The sequence below is a fragment of the Homo sapiens genome, chromosome 16, assembly GCF_000001405.40.
Source record: "Homo sapiens chromosome 16, GRCh38.p14 Primary Assembly".
Classification (NCBI taxonomy): Eukaryota; Metazoa; Chordata; class Mammalia; order Primates; family Hominidae; genus Homo; species Homo sapiens.
In genome coordinates, this window is record NC_000016.10 from 81,784,725 (window position 1) to 81,806,301 (window position 21,577).

The 21,577-nt window shown below is 46.1% G+C and overlaps 1 protein-coding gene across 4 annotated transcripts in view, besides 4 other annotated features; it reads left to right on the top strand.

Annotated features, from left to right (window-relative positions):
• PLCG2 (phospholipase C gamma 2) overlaps nucleotides 1–21,577 on the top strand; it is a 223,645-nt gene that overhangs the window by 45,684 nt on the left and 156,384 nt on the right. For all 4 annotated transcript variants that reach the window (NM_001425751.1, NM_001425749.1, NM_001425750.1 and 1 more), the window contains one exon: nucleotides 1,219–1,458. In NM_001425751.1, coding sequence (NP_001412680.1) covers nucleotides 1,266–1,458 — 193 coding nt within the window. In that variant the 5' untranslated portion in view covers nucleotides 1,219–1,265. The remainder of the gene's footprint in view (nucleotides 1–1,218; nucleotides 1,459–21,577) is intronic.
• Nucleotides 1,580–1,874: a silencer, noted in NCBI's record as "tiled region #14941; HepG2 Repressive non-DNase unmatched - State 20:ReprD, and K562 Repressive non-DNase unmatched - State 20:ReprD". NCBI's record gives its function as "represses a minimal TATA promoter and a strong SV40 promoter by Sharpr-MPRA in HepG2 and K562 cells {active_cell/tissue: HepG2 | K562}" and the evidence as "EXISTENCE:reporter gene assay evidence [ECO:0000049][PMID:27701403]".
• Nucleotides 12,921–12,970: an enhancer, noted in NCBI's record as "active region_11205". NCBI's record gives its function as "activates an Ori minimal core promoter by ATAC-STARR-seq in GM12878 lymphoblastoid cells {active_cell/tissue: GM12878}" and the evidence as "EXISTENCE:reporter gene assay evidence [ECO:0000049][PMID:35858748]".
• Nucleotides 13,021–13,440: an enhancer, noted in NCBI's record as "active region_11206". NCBI's record gives its function as "activates an Ori minimal core promoter by ATAC-STARR-seq in GM12878 lymphoblastoid cells {active_cell/tissue: GM12878}" and the evidence as "EXISTENCE:reporter gene assay evidence [ECO:0000049][PMID:35858748]".
• Nucleotides 13,711–14,320: an enhancer, noted in NCBI's record as "active region_11207". NCBI's record gives its function as "activates an Ori minimal core promoter by ATAC-STARR-seq in GM12878 lymphoblastoid cells {active_cell/tissue: GM12878}" and the evidence as "EXISTENCE:reporter gene assay evidence [ECO:0000049][PMID:35858748]".

Here is a 21,577-nt window from a genome sequence, read left to right on the forward strand (position 1 = left end):
AACATTTAGATGGTGGATACTGTTACCTTCTTTTATGGGACTGGAAATGAGCCCAGAGGATCTAAGTGACTTCTTGCAGCCTAGCTGGCAAGGGGGTCCCTGGTGGTTCAGCTCCAGGGCCTGGGGAGCGCCTTCACTCTAAGTCCTATTTTGGGGGCAGGCAATGTGTTTCTGGGGATTTGGGAGGCAGAATGAGGGAATGGTACAGAGTGAGGGCTCAGGGAGGGACTAAGGGATTTTGAGCAGAGGAGTGACATGATTTGATTCATGTTCTAAAAGGATCCTTCTGGCTCTGCATCTGAGAATTGACCCTAGCAGGTCAGGGAAGAAGTGGGGAGAGCAGGATTAGAATAGTTCAAGTATGAGATCCTAGGAGGAGCCGGTGAAAGGGTGAGATGCGTTGGAAGTGGTCGTGAGAGAGTCCACGCAAGGATTCCTCCAAGGTTTTGGGCCCAAGCACCTCTCTGACACTGACCACCCACAAGCATAAACAGCAATCAAGGACACCTCCTAGGTGCTGGCCGTCACCCCAGGTGCTTTGCTGGGGCATTTCTGAACACTCCCATTTTAAAAAGGCTAAAACTGAGGCACAGAGAGGTCAAGCAGTCTACCCAGAGCTACACAGTCAGCAGGAACCTTCTCTAGGGTTTGAACGTGAAGCTGCCAAGACCTGACATTTCCTGCCTTTCATCCTCATTTCTATGCAGAGGAACCATTTGCCAAAGTCTCCATGGATGATTCTGAAGGTTTAGTTTGTTTTTCGTTTATTTCATTTTTTTTTTTTTTTTGTTCTTAATTTTGCTCAGGAATAAAGAGATGGTTAGAAATCTCTAGACAGGATAGAGAAGGATGTTGGAGATTAGGGGTGAGAGGTGGGAGCCAGGCTGGGCTGCTTTGGCTATTCAAATATTCTTTAGGATAAGAGTGGGTGGGGAGAGAGGGGACTCACTGCCAGGTCAGGGTGATTTGGTTATTCAAAGCCCACGTAACGGTTGGGTCCTTGAGGTCAGGGGCTCTTCTCACACTTCAGTTTCCATTTAAACCTTTGTGTCCTGCCTTAGCTCTCTGAGTGGCCAGCGATGCCTTGCCACTAGAACCTTCTCCTAAAACTCATCCTGATTGACATGAGACAGGATTTTGGTTCCTGAAGTTCATGCCCTGTTAACTAAACCCCTTTCAGTACTAAAATCAGTTCACTCTTTAATTCTGCCCTTTCAGCTTCCTGATTTCTCCCGATTCCTTCCTTCTCCCTGGAGCGGCCGACAATGTCCACCACGGTCAATGTAGATTCCCTTGCGGAATATGAGAAGAGCCAGATCAAGAGAGCCCTGGAGCTGGGGACGGTGATGACTGTGTTCAGCTTCCGCAAGTCCACCCCCGAGCGGAGAACCGTCCAGGTGATCATGGAGACGCGGCAGGTGGCCTGGAGCAAGACCGCTGACAAGATCGAGGGCTTCTGTGAGTACTCGCTGGGTGGGGCAGTGTGGCCCGTCCTCTGGGGCCCTGGCCTGAGCACCTGTCCACCTTCCTGTCTTGTCATTACTGTGATTGTTGTTGGTTTGATGTGTTCTTTTATTCGTCTTAAAATGAAAGCATTGCCAGTTTGTGTGGATCTCTGATGAGGTTTACACCAGGTGGAGGAAGTTCAGCTGGGAAAACTCTGGTGAAAGAACTGAAGCTGAGGTCAGCCAACATGGAAATGGCATTCAGGCAGCTCTCCTTGCCTGGTGGTTCTGTGCCCTGTCTGACAGCATCAGGGATCGTCTGGTTCCCACAACTGGTCGAGTCATCTTTCCTCTTAAGGGCGAATTAGCCCAAGCCTGCAGAAACTCATAGCTTGGTCGCCAAATGCTACCTTGTTTTACTGCATACCATAGCAGTGAGGGGCCTTTGCTTTAGTCTCCAAGCAGGGAGAGTGAGTTGTTGAACGTTTTGTAGCTTTCAAATGCAGGTCTGGTCTTGGTAGAGGTGTCCCTCCTCCCCTACCTCCGTTTGATTGGGCAGCTGGTTCAGATCCTAAAGTTTCTAAGACTGTTTTTAACAAATAGAGTAAAGGCACTTAAGCAATTTTCAGTTGCAAATATTTGCTCTAATTTGTGTTTTTAAATTAACTAGTTTTTAATTGAAATATATATTCCTGGGGGTTAAGGAGTCAACTCAAATATTTCTCCTCCCTAAACCATCCTACTGAGGCAAGCTCATTACCAGTTACTTTTATCTTCCAAAATAGTCTATGCTTGCATAATGTGTGGGTTTAAAAAGAAAACAATTGGGAACTCTTGTACACTTCTGCACCTTGACTTCTTTTTGTTAATTAATAATGATGTTGGCGGTGGTTTCTTATCAGCACACATTGATCTCATTCTTTCTTGGACACATGACATGTAATGGCACAGGCCTCAATGTAACAGTTTAACTCCAGAGAAGGGCATTTCATGCTATTTCCAGGCTTTTGTTATTATTCGAAGTGACTATCATTGTACTCTTTTTTTTTTAAAACAAAATTAATTTTTTTGAGACAAGGTCTCTTTCTTTTACCCAGGCTGGAGTGCAATGGCATGATCATGGCTCACTGCAGCCTCAGCCCCCTGGGCTCAAGTGATCTTCCTGCCTCAGTCTCCCAAGTAGCTGGGACCATGGGAATGCACCGCCATGCCTGGATAATTTAATTTTTTTTTTTTTTTTTTGTAGAGATGGGATCTCACTATGTCCAGGCTTGTCTCCAATTCCTGTGCTCAAGTGATCCTCCCTCCTTGGCCTCCCAAAGCATTGGGATTACAGGCATGAGCCACCTCACCCAGCCTTGCACTCTTTTTTTTTTTTTTTATAATAGATTGATTGAGACATAATTCACATAGTATACATAGAATTCACCCATTGTATGCAGCATGTATAGTGTGGTGGTTTTAGTATATTTATATAAATGTGCAAGCACCACTCCAATCAAAAGTAGAACCTTTATATCACCTCAAGATGAAACCCCATACCTTTCACCATCACCCCATCCCCTCATCCCCCCTACCAGACGTAAGCAACCGTTAAATTTAATTCTGTTTCTATAAACCTCTCTATTCTGGACATTTCATAGAAATGGATCCTATGTATGTGGGCTTTTGTGACTGGCTTCTTTGACTCAGCATTTTTCAAGGTTCATCCACTTTGTTGCGTGGATCAGAAATTTTCCTTTTTGTGGCAGAATCACGATACGTTGTATGGGTATTCCACAGTTTATTCAGTCATCTGTTGACGGACCCTTGGGTTGTTGCCACCTTTTGGCTAATATAAATAGTGCTGCTAAGAATGTTTCTCTACAAGTTTTTGTGTGGATGTCTGTTTTTATTTGTTTTGGGTATATACCTAGGAGTGGAATTGCTGGGTCATACACTAACTCAGTTTCATCATTTTAGGAACTGTCAGACTGTTTTCTAAAGTGGCTGCACCATTTATATTCCTTCCAGTGGTAGAAAAGGGTGATCGTTGCATTATTCTTCATTTGTATATATGGGTATATCTGAAGGACAGCTTCCTGAAGGTTTATTTCTGAGCTGAAGGATATGGCATATATATATTTTAATAGACAGAGTCTCGCTCTGTTGCCCAGGCTGGAGTGCAGTAGTACAATGTCAGCTCACTGCAAGCTCCGCCTCCCGGATTCATGCCATTCTCCTGCCTCAGCCTCCCGAGTAGCTGGGACTACAGGCGCCCGCCACCACGCCCGGCTAATTTTTTGTATTTTTAGTAGAGACGGGGTCTCACTGTGTTAGGCAGGATGGGGGTATGGCATATTTTAACTTTAAAGGGAAGTTTGGCAGCACCCCACAAAAGAGGTTGCCCCCACTGTCTGTTTCAGCCACAGGATGTAAAAGTACCTGTTGCCTGAACCCTCATCTATGCTGCGTGGCTGCTGAACTTGGCCATCCACAGGTAGACTTTGGTAGCTTGGTGTCATCCTTAATTTGATGTATCCTATCATGAGTGTGATCAAACTGCTTTCTGAAAGGCTTTTCCTGGTTTTGGAGCCCAGTGGGTCTCTTGTGGCACAGAGCCAGAGCCCTGCTTTGGAACTGCCCATGTGGAGGTGGCCATCTTCCCTCTTGACTGTTTGCATTGGCCGGCTCCACCCCCAGGTGGCCCAGAAACCTGTTGCAGCTGGGGTGGCCACCCTCCCTTCCCCCACAAGGGGTGAGAGGGTTGGCACTGATGGTAAATACAGATGGGCCACGTTGAGACTGGACTGCAGGTTGTTCCTTTCTCTTCTCAACCTGCCCATCCCAAACCTAGCTGCCCATCAGAAACACCCAGGGGGGATCTTGTAAGTATAGGGTATTAACCATGGCATGTGTATACACCTGTGTAACAAACCTGCATGCTCTTCACATGTATCCCGGAACTTAAAGTAAAATAAAATAAAATAAATATATACAAAAAAGAAATTACAGGGTATTAGAACCTTCTTCTGAAGCTCATTGTGATGGGCATGAGACAGGATTTTGGCTTGAAATCTATGCCCTGTCATTCTCCCCTTCTGCTGAGTAATACCATTTCACTCGCTTACGCGGATGCGCTCTCTCGCTCTCTGTTTTAGAGACAGGGTCTTGCTCTGTTGCCCAGGCTAGAGAGCAATGGCCTGATCATGGTTCACTATAGTTGTGAACTCCTGGGCTCAAGTGATCCTCCTGCCCAGTCTCCCAAGTAGCTGAGACTACAGGTGAGTGCCACCATGCCTGGCTGATTTTTTAACTTTTGTGTAGATAGGGTCTTGCTATGTTGCCGAGGCTGGTCTCCAACTCCTGGCCTCAAGTGATCCTCCCACCTTGGTCTCCGAAAGTGCTGGGATTACAGACAGGAACTACCATGCCCGGCCTCAATTCATTCTTTTATTTATCTGTTCAGCCTCTTTATTTCCTTCTTCTTTCTCCCTGGAGAGACCAAGAATGATGATATTTCACCACTTTGGCTGGGGCGTATTATTATAATAAGTCCCCCGGATGGTCTGGTAACTAGGCAGGTTTCACACATATGCCACTGGAGAGACACTGCCCTTCCTCCACCTTCCCCCTCCTCTCCCTCCTCTTCTCCCTCCCACTTTCCCTTTCTTTCTCCTTCCCTTCCCACCTTTGCCCCCCCTCCATTGCCTCCCCTCTGTCATTTGGATGCCCACTGTAGGCGCCGCCCTAGGCGCTAGAGATACAGCAGTTATTAAATTGGATTCAAATCTCCGTGGAGCCTATATTGCTTTATTAGGTATGAGCAGTCTGGGGCTTGACTTCCAGTGCCCTTGGATGAGCTTTGCTGTGTGATCTTGGGCAAGTTACCTCCACTCTCTGAACTTTAATTCCCTTATCTGTGGACTGGAAATAACATTGGTGTCTACCCCACAGGCTCATGGTTGGGAAGAAGCAAATGAGAAGATGCATTGGAGAGGCTCGGCTGAATTCATAGTGTGTGACAGGCACTCAGTTGTTGGGAACCACCACTTTCAGGATGTTTGCTGTTGTTGCTAACTAGTGGAGTCCAGCCTATGTAGTCTTCCTTAGGGGTTTGGACTGGAGGGGAGTAGGGTCCATTCTCAGGTTTTCAGAAGAGGGATGACGTGATTGGATTTGCATCTTTGAGCATGCAGTGGAGGTCCTGTTTGCAATGATGGTGTTGGTAAAGTGACAGGGAAAGCCAATTATGTGTGAAGAGCTTAGAAATGGTGCTTCTCCCTCACACCTTGAGAGAGCAGGCCTTCAGGCCCTGGGTGGGGACTGTCAGTGTCACCGCTCAGTCTCCTGCTGAGAAGGGTGACGTTTTATCTCAAGAAGAACTCCCAGCTCTGGCAATTTCCTCACGGGGTTCTGGTTAGCAGGAACTTGCTGGTTACTGTGGGGTCTGCAGGGGCAGGTGCACATGAGAGGAGCACCGGCACCTGGTTTTGGAATAGTTGGCAAATGGTGTGTGACTTTTGGACAGGTGTTACAATCCCTGTGCAGACCTGGGTAAAATACCTAGGTCCTACTGTCTAAAGCAGCGTGTGGTTCTCAACCAGGGTGATTTTTGCCTCTCCCTCCCTACTCCAGGGTAGGGGGCATTTGGCAAAGTCTGGAGACGTGTTGATTTTCTCACCTGGGATACAGGGTGCTACTGGCATCTAGTGTGTAGAGGCCAGAGAGGCTGTTAAATGTTCTGTAGTGCACAGGACAGTCCGCACCACAGAGAGTGATCCAGCAAACGTGTCAGTGGTGCAGGGGTTGAGAAACTGCTCTAGAGTCATGTGTTTGCTTTGCTCACAGCAATAAAATGTCACTGGGTAAAATAGGGTTTTGCTCTGAACCCTGTTTGGATGGAATTTTCTCATTTGTTCAGCACATGTTTGCCATCATATTGAGTGCTAAACTCTGCAGAGAGAGGGAGGAGGAGGATGGAGTCCCAGCTTGCAAGAGGGGGAGACAGACTCAAACTTGCCCTTGCAAGATTGTGTGCTTAGTACCATAGCAGGAGTTTTCACTGGATGTGGTGTGAGGAGGGAAGGTTTTTGTCCATTTGGATGTGGGGGAGGTGGTGAGGAATGGGGAGGGCTCATTGTGGAGGAGCTGCTTGGGTGGAGTTTAGAGAGATTTGCTAGATGGTTAGCAGGGATGGCTGCCCTGATCCTGTGGGATTAATGGGTGTCATGTAATATAAACAAGCAGATTTGTGGGTCATAGATCTGGGCAGAGCTCAGCTGGGCAATTCTTCTACTCTTTGTAGCCTGGACTGAGGTCATTTGGTGTCACCTCGCCTGGAAGGTTCCAGAATCTTCACTCACACATCTGATACCTTAGTGGTGATGGCTGGAAGACTGAGCTTAGCTGGGATTATTTTTTGTTTGTTTGTTTTTCAGACGGAATCTCTGTCACCCAGGCTGGAGTGCAATGGTGCAGCCTCGGCTCACTGCAACCTTTGCCTCCTGGGTTCAAGCTATTCTCCCACCTCAGCCCCCCGAGTAGCTGGGATTACAGGTGGGTACCATCACATGCAGCTAATTTTTGTATTTTTAGTAGAGATGGGCTTTCACCATGTTGGCCAGGCTGGTCTTGAGCTCCTGACCTCTCGTGATCTGCCCACCCTGGCCTCCCAAAGTGCTGGGATTACAGGCATGAACCACTGCACCCAGCCTTAGCTGGGACTGTTGACCAAACATCTACCATGTGGTGGTCTCAGGCAGAAGAGTCCCAGGCAGAAGCTACAGGCTTCTTACGACAGCCTCATAAATCCGAGGACATCACTTGCACCAACTCAGATCAGCAAGCCCAGCTCAGCTTCAAGGAAAGGAAATTTCTCTCTTAGAGAAGGAATGGCATGCATATCGATGGTAGGCAGGAACTGATGGTGGCCACCAGCAGCCAAGCTCCCACATGAGCATGTCGACTCTGAATCCCAATTTATGATGCAAATCCCTGCTCTGCCACTGTATTAGTCCATTCTTATGGTGCTAATAAAGACATACTCCAGCCTGGGCACAGTGGCTCACACCTGTAATCCCAGGACTTTGGGAGGCCAAGGCAAATGGACCACCTGGGGTCAGGAGTTCGAGACCAGCCTAGCCAACATGGCGAAGCCCCATCTCTACTAAAAATATTAAAATTGGCTGGGTGTAGTGGCACATGCCTGTAGTCCCAGCTACTTGGGAGGCTGAGGCACAGAATTGCTTGAATGTGCAAGGCGGAGGCTGCAGTGAGCCGAGATCACTCCACTGCACTCCAGCCTGGGTGACAGAGCAAGGCTCTGTCTCAAAAAAAAAAAAAAAAAAAAAAAAAAAAAAAGACAAAACAAAACAAAAACAAGCAAACAAAACCCAAGACTGAGTAATTTATAAAGGAAAGAGGTTTAATTGACTCACACACAATATGGCTGGGGAGGCCTCAGGAAACTTACAATCATGGTGGAAGGAGAAGCCTTCTTCACATGGTGGCAGCAAGGAGAAGGAGAGCTGAGTGAAGGGGGAAGCCTCTTGTAAAACTATCAGCCCTCATGAGAATTTACTCACTATCACGAGAACAGCATGGAGGTAACCGGCCCTATGATTCAATTACCTCCCACTGGGTCCCTCCTATGACACATGAGGATTATGGGAACGACAATTTAAGATGAGATTTGGGTGGGGAGAGAGCCAGACCATATCAGCCACTTACTAGAAGTGTGACTGGAAGCTAATTCTTTTGTTATATTTCTGTGCCTCAGTTTCCATATCTGTCAAGTGAGATAATAGTAGTTTCTATCTTATTGGGTGAGAATTAAATGGATTTTATTTTATGTTCTTTTTAAGATGTGGGAAATATTGCATAATCGAAACTTAATACAATAAGACCAGAAAGAAAAAAGGCCCCCTGGTGAGGACCCCCAAGGCCTGGCCTCTGGCAGAGAAGACTGAGTCTGAAGCACAACACCTCACTTCCTGGCCTCCAGGTTCCCTATTGCTTTCCAGGGGTGTTGGATAAGATGGTGCTGGGATTCCTTCCATCCCCAGCCTTCTGCATAGAGTTAAGGAGCTGGTTGTCTGTGAATGTCGGGAGGGAGCTTGTGGTACTGTTGGGCATGTTGGTTTTCTTTCCTTTCTGAGGGACCTAGTTGAGCAGTCTTCAGGTGGGAAGGGGTCTGCTCTGGGGCCTTTCTGAGTTGAGCCTTAGGTGTCCTCTTGCATCTTGTGCATTTGAAAGGCTTGGATTTTGTCTCAGGAGCCGATGTGGTGCCACCTGTTTGTGGGTCTGGAATTTTAGGGTCGGCTGTGGTGATGGGCCCTTTTGAGGGCCTGGATGCGTCCATCTCAACTGTGTAGGCTTTTTATCCTGACATTTTCACTTTTGCTTAGGCATATCTTCTCTGTCTGCTTATTTGTGGCAAGTGGTGGCTGCCCATGAGTGACGGATTCTCAAACATATGAGCTGTCTGTTTCCTTGGTATTAGGTTCTTGGGGTTCCCACTTAATAATGATAATAGTGATACCGTTGATGAGAGCCTCTTCTAATGAATGCTCACTGTGTCCTAGTCTCTGTGAAGGCACATCAAAGATAACTCCTTAATCCCCGCAGTGGTCCAGTGAAGGGGGAGCTATCCCTGCTTTATTCATAAAGAGATTGAGTCTTGGGGAGATGAGATGACATGCCCAAGTTAAGGAAAGGGCAGAGCTACAATTTGAACTTGTTCTTCCCAGTTTCAGTCTCAAGTCTTCTTCCTGCTCTGTGTTGTTTTCTTCTCCTAAATGATCTCAAAGACGTATCAGATCTGTGTGTCATAAACACCCTGCCTGAGACCAAAGAATGGCAGCTTCATTTAGAGTTTCTTTGTGACAGCAGGACAGAAACACATGAATTCCTTACGTGTGCAGAGGACTTGCTCTGCCAGGTGCTGGAGGTACCAAGAGAAAGGAGACTCAGTGCTCATCCTAGAGGCGCCGGATTTGTGGGGAGATGCTAGGAAAAGACCACAAACACAGCCTGGAAAAGGGCTGTTGGGGACAAGGGTGCCGAAGTGAGAGTTTACTGTATTTTGGCTCATCCTGAAATCCACTCTTGGACTTCTTTTCATGGAAAAAATGAATATTTTTGAAAGTTATTATTTTATCAAAATGTTTTTGAAATAAATGTGAAATTACTATTAATAATAATAATAAATGAATTATTTTCTCGCTGGCATCTCCTAAGAAGAAATCCATTGTCTGAGGGTGGTCCCCAAGCCCCTGCAATGAAGCGTCTCATCAGAAATAAGACGCAACCAATGCCTGAAGTGTCCATAAATGTATTTGCCTTTCAGTTACTGGTATGCGGTGATGGTATAAAGAAGGGCTGTCAAATCCTGGTCCTGCACTTGGTAGGGGTGTGACCTTGGGTCTCTCATGTCACCTCTTTGGGCCTCCATTTCCTTATCTATAAAATGAGAATAGTTGAAGAACACACCCCATAAGACTCTTGTGATAAGTAAATGACGTGATATATGTAAAATCCTTCAATAGTATCTGGCACAGAGGATGTGCTTAAGTATTTTTTGCTCTTGCTGTCGTTGATGTCATCATTATCATCATCCAGCATAAAGGCAAGATGGCATTGTAGAAAGGATGGGATAAATACTACATTTTCCATTTATATGAGGATTTTCCTTCCTGCACCCGATGGATTGTCCTGCTCCCCCTGGAGTATGTGTCCTCCACTTTGGAGCATGCCAGTGTGAAAAGTAGAGTTGACATTTTTATTCTTGATGGTGCTATAGCCCTTCTCTTATGCTGAATAGCTGAGGAATTGCTTGTCTTGTTTTCAAGAGTTGTCTTCTATCCTGGATGACAACCTTAGAATGTTCTTAGAATTTGTTCCTTTGTTGATTTAGCAAATACTCAAAGAGGACCTGATGTGTGTTGGGCAATGTGCTTGTCACTGGGGATAAAGTAGTGAACAGGACCCTGAAGATCTCTAGAGGATCTTACAATCTTGTAGGAAAAGCAGAAAAAGTCAGACTAACACATTCAATCATGTTGGATCGTGATAGACGCTAGGAAGGAAAGGAACAGGGTACTGTAATAAGGAGTCATTAGTCAGGAGCACTAGCCTAGCTGGGGAAGGCCTCAGGGTGGCCTCTCTGTAGAGGTGATGTTTGAGCTGAGACTTGAAGGGTGAGAAGGAGGGAGCCATGGGAAGCTCTGTGGGGAGAGCATTCTGGCATAGGGCATAGCAACAAAGCTTTCCTATTAGTGAAGGTAGCCTAATTGCAGTAACAAGTTATTTCTTCCTGTAAGTTTATCTCTCACTCACTCAAATCATGATCCAGTGGGATTGGGGGTGGGACTCTGCTGTCTGATCACAATGGGACTCTGTGCTATCATCTCCAAAGGTGTTGGAGGCTACCGCAGGATCCTTTGTGTGACCACTGCATGGAGGAAGAGGAAGAGCAGAGGATGGCTCAGGAGGTTGGAGGTTTCTATGGGCCATACCTGAAGTGGATGTACCTGTTTCCTCCCACCTGCTTTTTTTTTTTCTCCCCAAGAGATGGGGTCTTGCTTATTGCCCAGGCTGGAGTACAGTGGTGTGATCACAGCTCACTGCAGCCTTGAACTCCTCGGATCAAGTGATCCTCCTGCTTTGGCCTCCCAAAGAGCTGGGATCACAGGCATGGGCCACTGTGCCCGGCCCCCTCCCACCTTCTATTGAACAGAATTTGGCATGTGACCAAGTGCAAGGGATGCTGGGAAACATGCCCTAGCCGCATGCTAGAAGAACAGGGCCTAAGTTGGGGGGCATCCTTCCAGGCTTTTCTGTAACCCCTAATTTTGGAGGGTACAGAGGCAGCTCTAGGTGCCCCAGTGAAGGCTGATAAGCAGGTTGATGGTAAGGGTTTGGGAGTCTTGTAGGAATCCAGGAGAATGAACAGTCTCATCGCTGGGCTGCATGGAAAGGGAAGTGGTGAGCCACTGGCACTGAGGACTTTCCTGTCTGTAACTAGAGCTGCTGATGGTGATGTCTCTTAGACAGCCTCATCTGCCCTCTTGGGTTTCTCTCACAGATGTGGCCCTCCCCTCCCCAGCACAGACTGTCTCCAAACCTTGGCTTTTTCTGTTGCTGCCACATCAGTGACAGCTTTGGTTTTGCAACCTCCCAAGGATGGACCCCTGAGAGAGAGGCCTCCTATGGGCCATGCCTTTTAAAGCCAGCACACATGAGCAGGCTGCTTTGGAGATCAGTATCCTTTGGCACGGCCAGCCTTTCCTGGGCATAGGGGTGGATTGGAGGTGGTCTCCTGTAAGAGGACATCGTCTGGCTCCCGGGCTGTGGGCAGTGGTGGGTGCCTGTTACGGATTGAATTGTCCTTACCAATTTCATATGTCAAGGTCCTAATCCCCATACTCAGAATGTGATCTTATTTGGAAAGAGGGTCTTTGCAGATGTAATTAGTTGAGATGAAATCATAATGGAATAGAGTGGGCCCTAATCCAATATGACTGGTTTCCTTATGAGAAGAGGAGAGAGAGACACAGGGAGAGAAGGCCATGTGAAGACAGATACAGAAATCTGAGTCATGCATCTGCAAGCTAAGGAACACCAGGGGTGCTCCCTCAGGAGGAACCAGCCTCGCCAACACTTTGATTTTGGACTTCTGGTCTCCAGAACTGTGAGACAAACTTCTGTTGTTTCGGCCATCCAATTTTTGGTATTTCATGAGTGGCAGGCCTAACACACAAATACACTCTCATGTAACAGGGGCCTGAGGGCAACGGGGTGAGTACAGGGATTGACCTACCCATTCAGCCACTGATACTATGGATGGGTTGTGGTTTGTCATAACGGAATTTAAGAGGCGTTGCTTTCTTCCACGTGTCATGTTATTTTCTAGCTGCGTTGGTTCTGGCCTGGGCCCTGAGGGTGTAAGAGGGAATACAGTGTAGTGGGTAAACGAGGGAGGCAGCATTTGTCCCTCAAAATAGCACCAAGTTCTGGGAATGCAGGTATATTTGGAGTTCCTGACAAGTCAGTGCAGGTCCAACGTCTTAGGGATTGTGCTGAGTTGGGGGAGGGATCTAGTTAAAGATGTCCCTTGGTGAATCATTTTTGAAAAAAAAAAAATTATCTCCACTACCTGTCCCCTAGTCTGTCTTAGATATAAATGCGGGTTTTTGTATATCAGGCTCGCAAAATTATGTGTCTTGATTTGTCTTGGGAGAGATTTAGGTGCTGTGCAGTTTGGGGTTGAAATCAGAAATCCTGGGGTTGACTTTTCCTGCTTTCATGCAAGGCCCGATCTTGGGGCCAGGCCTTCGGTAGTCCTGACCCACAGACTAAGAGTGCTGGGAGGCCAGGGACCCTGTCTGTTCTGTTCATAAGGGGGACTTCCCAGCACCTGGCCCATATCTGGCCTGTGGCTGGTGCTCCTCAGATACCTGGTTAACAGATGAATCAGGAAAAGGCCCTGGCTGCCCCTTTCAGCCTCGGACTTCCGGTTTCTTCCTAACCATGGCAGCAGTATCTGGGGTTGAGATAGGGCACCTCTGTGACAACTTCCTCTTTAACCATACACCGTGGTTCCACTCGTGGTCCTGGCACTTAGTGACTGTGTGACCTTAGGCAATCTACTTGGCCTCTTTGAGTCTCAGTTTTCTTTTTTCTTGTCTTTTTTTTTTTTGAGATGGAGTCTCACTCTGTCCCCAGGCTGAAGTGCAGCGGCACAATTTCAGTTCACTGCAACCTCTGCCTCCCGGGTTCAAGCAATTATTCTGCCTCAGCCTCCTGAGTAGCTGGGATTACAGGTACCCTCCACCTCACCTGGCTAATTTTTGTATTTTTAGTAGAGATGGGGTTCCACCATGTTGACCAGGCTGGCCTTGAACTTCTGACCTCAAGTGATCTGCCTGCATTGGCCTCCCAAAGTGTTGGGATTACAGGTGTGAGTCACCGCGCCTGGCCTGAGTCTCAGTTTTCTTATCTATAAGATGGGGTAATAGTGGAGCTTACCCCATCAGATCACTGGGAGGATTCAGTTTGTAAGTGATTGTCACAAGTCCAGTATGTACTTAACACAGGGTGCCTCCCAGCCATGCTGCCATATGTCTCCTCAGGCAGCAGGTGCCTGCATTTGTGTTTGCGTGGGGGACATGGGACAGGCTGAGACATAGCTCGCATGTGTAGGGGGTGTCCTCCTCCTGCTCTTCTGTAGCACACAGCTAGGGGTCCTCTGGGGTTAAGTGCTCTTGGACCTGAGCCTGGATATAAAAGCAGCCCAGTGCTTCTGGGAGGCTGGGGAGGCCTGGGCTTGGAGAAGGAGCGTCGACAGGGTGAAGGTGAAGTTCTGGAAATAGAAACAGTGATGATACCACATCACAGCCTGGGGGCCACTCCACTGTCACAGGGCTGTTGGGAAGAAGCTGTAAGGTGCTGCTTTCATCTATACAAGTTGTGCTGGAGGCCAGGGGTAGGCGTGAGTTTTGGGAGGTGAAGTATCTGTGTGTGTGAAGGATTCTGTTTTGAGAAAGAAGGAAATGGGAACTTACTAATTTGTAGAATGGAAACTAGCAAAATTAGGCAAGGCATGGTGAGAGCATGTGCAGCAGGAAGAGGAGACCCCGCAGAGCTCAGAAGAGGTGGAGGAGGGGCTGGCCTCCCCGGCCTCAGGACTTCAGGGATCCCACTGCGTCTTCTCTGCTCCTGCTTCGGCTGGATTTCACCGGCCAGGTGTCTCTCTCCCCAGCACTACCAGCCACTCCAGGATGTCCCTGGCCTGCCACCAGCCTCCACCAGTGGGAAAAGCCCCTACACCAGGTAGTAGCATGACTGAAGGAGGGCCCGTGTCCCTGGGGAGGCAAGAAGGGCCCAAGCCCAGCGTGGCGCAGAGTGAACGTTACGCCAGTTTCCTGTTTAGACAGCTCTGAGCTGCTTCCCTCTGGCCTTGCATATTTCTCCTAATTAAAACAACTGCTTTTTCCCCCTCATTATAGAAGTACTATGTGTTCATTGGTAGACACATTTTAACCTACTTCTGGGTGAGAAAAACAACCCCTTAGCCCCCGCCACCCCCCTACCCAGAGAGATGGTGTTAACACCTGGTGTACCACCTTCCAAATCTTTTTGTCCAACAAAACTTTATTCACAAGACATTTTCACAACATGCGACCCTTTTGTAATGTACTTTAGTAATCTGCCTTTTTCATTTTGTACTACTTTGTGACCATGTTAGTATTATTAACTAATTTATTTTAGTTAATGAATTAATTAATTTTTTGAGGCAGGGTCTTGCTCTGTCACCCAGGTTGGTGTGCAGTGGTGTGACCATAGGTCACTGTAGCCTTGAACTCCTGGCCTCAAGAGATCCTCCCATCTTGGCCTCCCAAAGTGCTGGGATTACAGGTGCAAGCCACTGAGCCTGGCCTGTTATTAATTTTTTTTTTTTTTTTTTGAGACAGAGTCTCGCTCTATTGCCCAGGTGCAATGGCACCATCTTGGCTCACTGCAAGCTCCGCCTCCCAGGTTCACACCATTCTCCTGCCTCAACCTCCCGAGTAGCTGGGACTACAGGCGCCCGCCACCACACTTGGCTAATTTTTTTGTATTTTTAGTGGAGATGGGGTTTCACCGTGTTAGCCAGGATGGTCTCGATCTCCTGACCTCGTGATCCTCCCACCTTGGCCTCCTAAAGTGCTGGGATTACAGGTGTGAACCACTGAGCCCAGCCTGTTATTAACTATTTTAAATGTCGATGTTGGTTTAAAAAATAATATGACAGACCCCACATACTCAAGAGCAAGGGATCCAGGGTCTGACTGCCTGGGTTCAGATCTTGGCTATGCCACTTATCCCATTTGTGGCCATGGACAAGTTACTTAACTTTTCATTGCACTCATCTGTAAAATAGGATAATAATGGTACCTATTACACTGGACTCTCATGAGGATTAGGGGAGTTAATTATGTATCATACTTTGGGTATCATAGTACCTGGCAAATATCCCAAGCACTCTATAAGAGCTACTATTGCTATTATTATTGTTTAAATTTACTTTTATTGTAAGTTCTGGGATACATGTGCAGAATGTGTGGGATACATAGGTAAGCGTTTGCCATCGTGGCTTGCTGCACCTATCAGCTCATCACCTAGATATTAAGCCCTGCATGTATTAGCTATTTATTCTGATGCTCTCCTCCATCCTTACCCTGCTCCCCAACAGGCCCTGGTGTGTGTTGTTCTCCTCCCTGTGTCCATGTGTTCTCATTGATCAGCTCCCACTTATGATTGAGAACATGCAGTGTTTGGTTTTCTGTTCCCGTGTTAGTTTGCTGAGGATGATGGCTTCCAGCTTCATCTATGTCCCTGCGAAGGACACGATCTCGTTCCGTTTTATGGCTGCATAGTATTCCATGGTGTATATGTACCATATTTTCTTTATCCAGTCTATTGTTGATGGGCATTTGGGTTGATTCCCTATCTTCGCTATTGTGATACTATTGCTATTATTATTATTATTATTATTATTGTTATTTCCAACCCTCTATGATAGGCAGAATAAACGCTCTCTGCTCCCAAGATGCCCTTGTCTTAATCCCTGGAGCCTGTGAATATATTACTCTATACGGCAAAATGCTCCTTGCAGATTGAACAGATCTTGAGATGGGGAGATGATCCTGGATTATCTGGGTGGATATGATGAAATCACAAAGGTCCTTGCAGGAGGGAGGCAGGAGGGTCAGAGTCAGAGTGAGACTGGAAGATGGCACCAGCTGGCTCTGAAGATGGAGGAAGGGGCCATGAATCAAGGAATGCAGGTGGCTTGTGCAAGCTGGAAAAGGCAAAGGAACTCATTCTCCCCTAGAGGGTCTGGAGAAAGCTTGTCCCAGTGATGCCTTGATTTTAGCCCCATGAGACTCATGACTTTTGCTCGTCTCCAGAGCTGCAAGATAATCAATTTGAGTAAAGCTATTATGCATGTGGGAATTCAGTAGCGTAGCGATTGAGAATAAATAACCCCCAACCCCGCAACCAACTTAGATGAGTTGTGATGTTTGCTTTGGATCTTTTTTGTTTTTAAGAAATAAAATATAGTTAAGTTCTCATAAGTACCCTTCCCTCCCTAGAGAAATCAGTATCATGATTTAATAATTATAATTCCCATTTCAAAAATTTTCATCCATGATTAACATATAATATGTTTTGCAGGTCTTTACATAAAAGACACTGCGTGGTGTGTATCCCTCAAGCAACTTGCATGTTTTTGCTTGACCTTGTGAAGATTTTCCATGTTGATGTAGCTTTATTTTAACATCCATGAGCAATTTCACTCAACAGTACAGCACGATAGATTGATCTGTCCTGTCAATGCTGGACATTTAGGTTGTTTCCAATCATGATACTCCCGATTCCAGCAAACACGTCTTCGCTATTGTTTGAAATTACTATAGGATTCTACCTTATTTTTTAAAAACCTATCTCCCATTTTTTCGATATTAGATAGTTGTTTTTTATTTTCTTTAATTTTTTTTTTCTTGAGGTGGTGTCTTGCTTTGTCACCCAGGCTGGAGTGCAGTGGCACAATCTCAGCTCACTGCAACCTCCGCCTCCAGGGTTCAAGCGATTCTCTTGCTTCAGCTTCCCCAGTAGCTGGGATTACAGTTGTACACCACCACGCCTGGTTAATTTTTGTACTTTTAGTAGAGACGGGGTTTCACTATGTTGGTCAGGCTGGTCTCGAACTCCTGACCACAAGTGATCCACCCACCTCAGCCTCCCAAAGTGTTGGGATTACAGGCATCAGCCATCACACCTGGCCAACATTTCATTTTGAAATGGCTTCCAAAAAATCTGTGGCTGTGCAGAGGTGCCCACCAACATTCTGTCTGGAATGAAAAAACTAGAAGTTAGCTCCTTCAGGTGAGTACAGTCTTTTTTTTTTTTTTTTTTTTTTTTTTTTTTTTTTTTTTGAGACGGATCTCGCTCTTTCGCCCAGGCCAGAGTGCAGTGGCGCTATCTTGGCTCACTGCAAGCTCCGCCTCCCGGGTTCACACCATTCTCTTGCCTCAGCCTCCACAGTAGTTGGGATTACAGGCGCCCGCCACCGCGCCCAGCTAATTTTTTGTATTTTTAGTAGAGATGGGGTTTCACCGTGTTAGCCAGGATGGTCTCGATCTCCTGACCTCGTGATCCACCCGCCTCGGCCTCCCAAAGTGCTGGGATTACAGGCGTGAGCCACCGCGCCCGGCCTCAGGTGGGTACAGTCTTATTCATGTCTGTACTTCCAGCTTTTGCTACCAAGTGTTCCCAGTAGATGCTTAGTAGATATGTGATATTGAATGTGTAACTGCTACCTTGACCTACCACCTTCTCTTGATGAGGAACCTATAGATTTGTTTTCTTTCTTTTTTTGTTTTTGTTTTGAGACTGAGTGGAGTTTCACTCTTGTCGCCGGGCTGGAGTGCAGTGGCGCAATCTCAGCTCACTACAACCTCTGCCTCCCAGGTTCAAGCAATTCTCATGCCTCAGCCTCCCAAGTAGCTGGGATTACAGGCATGCGCCACCACGCCCAGCTGATTTTGTATTTTTAGTAGGGACGGCATTTCATCATTTTGATCAGGCTGGTCTCGAACTCCTGACCTCAGGTGATCCACCCACCTCAGCCTCCCAAAGTGCAAAAGAAATTAATACTTTTATTGAGATAAAAACATTGTATACCCTATAATGTACCCCTTAATGTATACTGTTAAGTGGTTTTTAGTATATTCAGAGTTGTACCAACATTATCATAATCAGTTTTAGAATGTTTCATAATTTCCCCCAAATCCTATACATTAGCAGTCACCTCTACTTTACTTTCCCCCATCCCTGGCAATGACAAATCTACTTTTTGCCTTTACAGAGTTTCCTATTCTGGACATTTCTCACAATACATGGCTTTTTGCATTTCACTTTTTTTTTTTTTTTTTTTTTGTGAGACGGAATCTCACTCTGTCGCCCAGGCTGGAGTGCAGTGGCATGATCTCGGCTCACTGCAAGCTCTGCCTCATGGGTTCATGCCATTCTCCTGCCTCAGCCTCCTGAGTAGCTGGGACTACAGGTGCCCACCACCACGCCTGTCTAATTTTTTTTGTATTTTTAGTAGAGATGGGGTTTTGCTGTGTTAGCCAGGATGCATCTCACTTCTTTAGCCTAACATAAGGTTCGTTCATATTGTAGCATATTATCAACACTTCATTCCTTTTTAAGACTAATATTCCATTGCATGGATAGACCATATTTTGTTTATCCATTCATCACTTGATGGACATTTAGGTAGTTCTCTCTTTTTGGTTACTGTTTTCATTTTCTTTGTTCTTTCTTTCCTTTCTTTCTTTTCTTTCTTTCCTTTCTTTCCTTCCTTTCCTTTCCTTTCCTTTCCTTTCTTTTCTTTTCTCCTTTTCTTTTCTTTTCTTTTCCTTTCTTTTCTTCTTCCCTCCCTCCCTCCCTCCCTCCCTCCCTCCCTTCCTTCCTTCCTTCCTTTTCTTTCTTTCTTTACTCTCTACAGTCTCACTGTGTCGGTCAGGCCGGAGGGCAGTGGTGCGATTTTGGTTCACTGCATCCTCTACCTCCTGGATTCAAGTGATTCTCGTGCCTCAGCCTCCTGAGTGGCTGGGATTACAGGCGTGTACCACCACACCTGGCTAAGTTTTGTATTTTTAATACAGACAGGGTTTCACTATGTTGGCCAAGCTAGTCTTGAACTCCTGGCCTCAAGTGATCCACCTGCCTTGCCTCCCAGAGTGCTGGGATTACAGGTATGAGCCACCGTGCCTGGACTCTTTTTGGTTATTGTGAATAATACTGCGGTGGACATTCATGTACAAGTTTTTGTGTGAACACATGTTTCCATTTCTCTTGGCTCTTTGCCTAAGAGTGGAATTCTAGGTTATCTGTAACTGTTTAATCACTTAAGGAATTGCCAAGACTGTTTGCCAAAGCAGTTGCACCATTTACTTTCCCACCAGCAATGTATGAGGGCTCCAACTTCCCCATGTCCTCGCCAACACATGTTAGTATCTGTCTTTTTGGTTATCACCATCCTAGTGGAGGTGAAGTGTTATGTCATTGTGGTTCTGATTTGCATTTTCCTGATTGCTCATTGCTCTATCTTAAATAGTTGATGTAATAATTTCCTTCTAAACATTGGCTTTCTGTAGACAGTGTCCTATTTTCAACTTTTCTGGGCCCCAGCATTGTCTTCTGGCATGGGGTTGGTGCTGACTAGGGCGTAAATGAATGAGGCAACTCTGGATATGTTAGCTTGCAGCACATGGGCATGGACACTGATTGGCAAGGATGTGCTTCTTGGCTTGAGTCAAGAATCATACATTTTAACCATCACTTCTGCTTTTTTTGTGGCACAAAAGGACCATTTTTTGAAGTTAGTAACCTGTCTTAGTTCCCTCAGTAGATGTTTGTCCAAATGTTGCGGTGAAGCATAGCACAGACTTTTCATCATTTCAAGGTTTAACGCCTCAGCCCAGGGAGTGTATATTTGGTGACCGTTTTCCCAGAGCCCTGGAAATGCTTCTTCCTAACTGTCCACTTTGAGCTCCTCTGCCTCCTCTTTGGCAATCAGTTACCTCCTAAGAGGAACCTGGAGAAATGTCATTGGGAAGTGCTGCTGGCACCAGGATGAGAGAGTGTTCTTGAAAGCTTGGGAGCAGTATTGAGCATCTGCCATGTGTCAGTATTGTGCTGGGCACTACAAGCTCACATGTATCCATGTGATCATGTGTATGGGTATTTATTTGTAGTGTCTAGTCATTACAATCTGTCTGTGAGTTTTGCCTGGTTTACTCCTAAGTACAGTGAGCTTCAGTGATTTGCCCAAGGTTACCAAAGTTTTCAGAGGAACAACATCAGACACTTTTCCCCAATCACCATGTGCCAGAAAACCTTTAGGTTAAGAGGTTAACAAGACAAGCCACAGATAGGGGAAAATATTTATGAAACAAGAGCTGATAAAGGACCCATATCCAAAATAGGCAACTCTTAAAACTCAACAATAAAAGGCCAGGCTCGGTAGCTCATGCCTGTAATCCCAGCACTTTGGGAGGCCAAGGTGGATGGATCACAAGGTCAGGAGATCGAGACCATCCTGACTAACACGGTGAAACTCTGTCTCTACTAAAAATATAAAAAATTAGCCGGGTGTGGTGTCGGGTGCCTATAGTCCCAGCTACTCAGGAGGCTGAGGCAGGAGAATGGCGTTAACCCAGGAGGTGGAGCTTGCAGTGAGCAGAGATTGCACCACTGCACTTCAGCCTGGGTAACAGAGCGAGACTCCATCTCAGAAAAAAAAAAAAAAAAAACAAAACGCAAGAAAACAACAAAAAAAACCAAAAACAAAAGCTCAACAATAAGAAAACAACCCAATTAAAAAGTGGGCGAAAGATCTGAACAGATGCCTCACACCCCCTTCCCCCACCCCACTCACAATGCTTTGCCATCCATGTCTCCATCCTGCAGTAGCCAAAGCTGGCTGCTTCTGGACCACTGCTGTGCAATGGAAATACAGTGTGAGTCACCAATACCAGCCATGAGAGTAGTGTTTTGTTTTGTTTTTTTTTTTTTTTGTTTTTTTTTTTTTTTGCTGTTATTGTTGTTTTGTTTTTTAAATAGAGATGGGATTTTGTTCTGGGTGAAGTGAATCAAACTCCTGGGCTCAAGTGATCCTCCCAGCTCAGCCTCCTGAGTAGCTGGGATTACAGGTGTGAGCCACTGTACGCAGTCATGTGTGTAGTTTAAAGTTTTCTAGTTGCCACATTCATAAAGGTAAAAAGAGGTGAAACTAACTTTATTAATAAATTTTATTTAACTCAGTATATCCAAAGCATTATTATTTCAACATGTATGCAATATAATTATTAACGAGATATTTGATTCTGGTTTTTGGTCTGTGTCTTCAAAATCCAGTGTGTGTTTTATACCTATAACACATCTTGATTCAGACAGATTCAATTCTGAGTGTTCAAAAGCCACATGTGGCTAGTGGCTACCATATTGGATAGCACAGATCTAGATTATACCTCTTTTGTCCTTTTGCATTACCTGCTTCCGTGGTCCCCAAGCAGCAAAGGCATTCTCCATGTGGC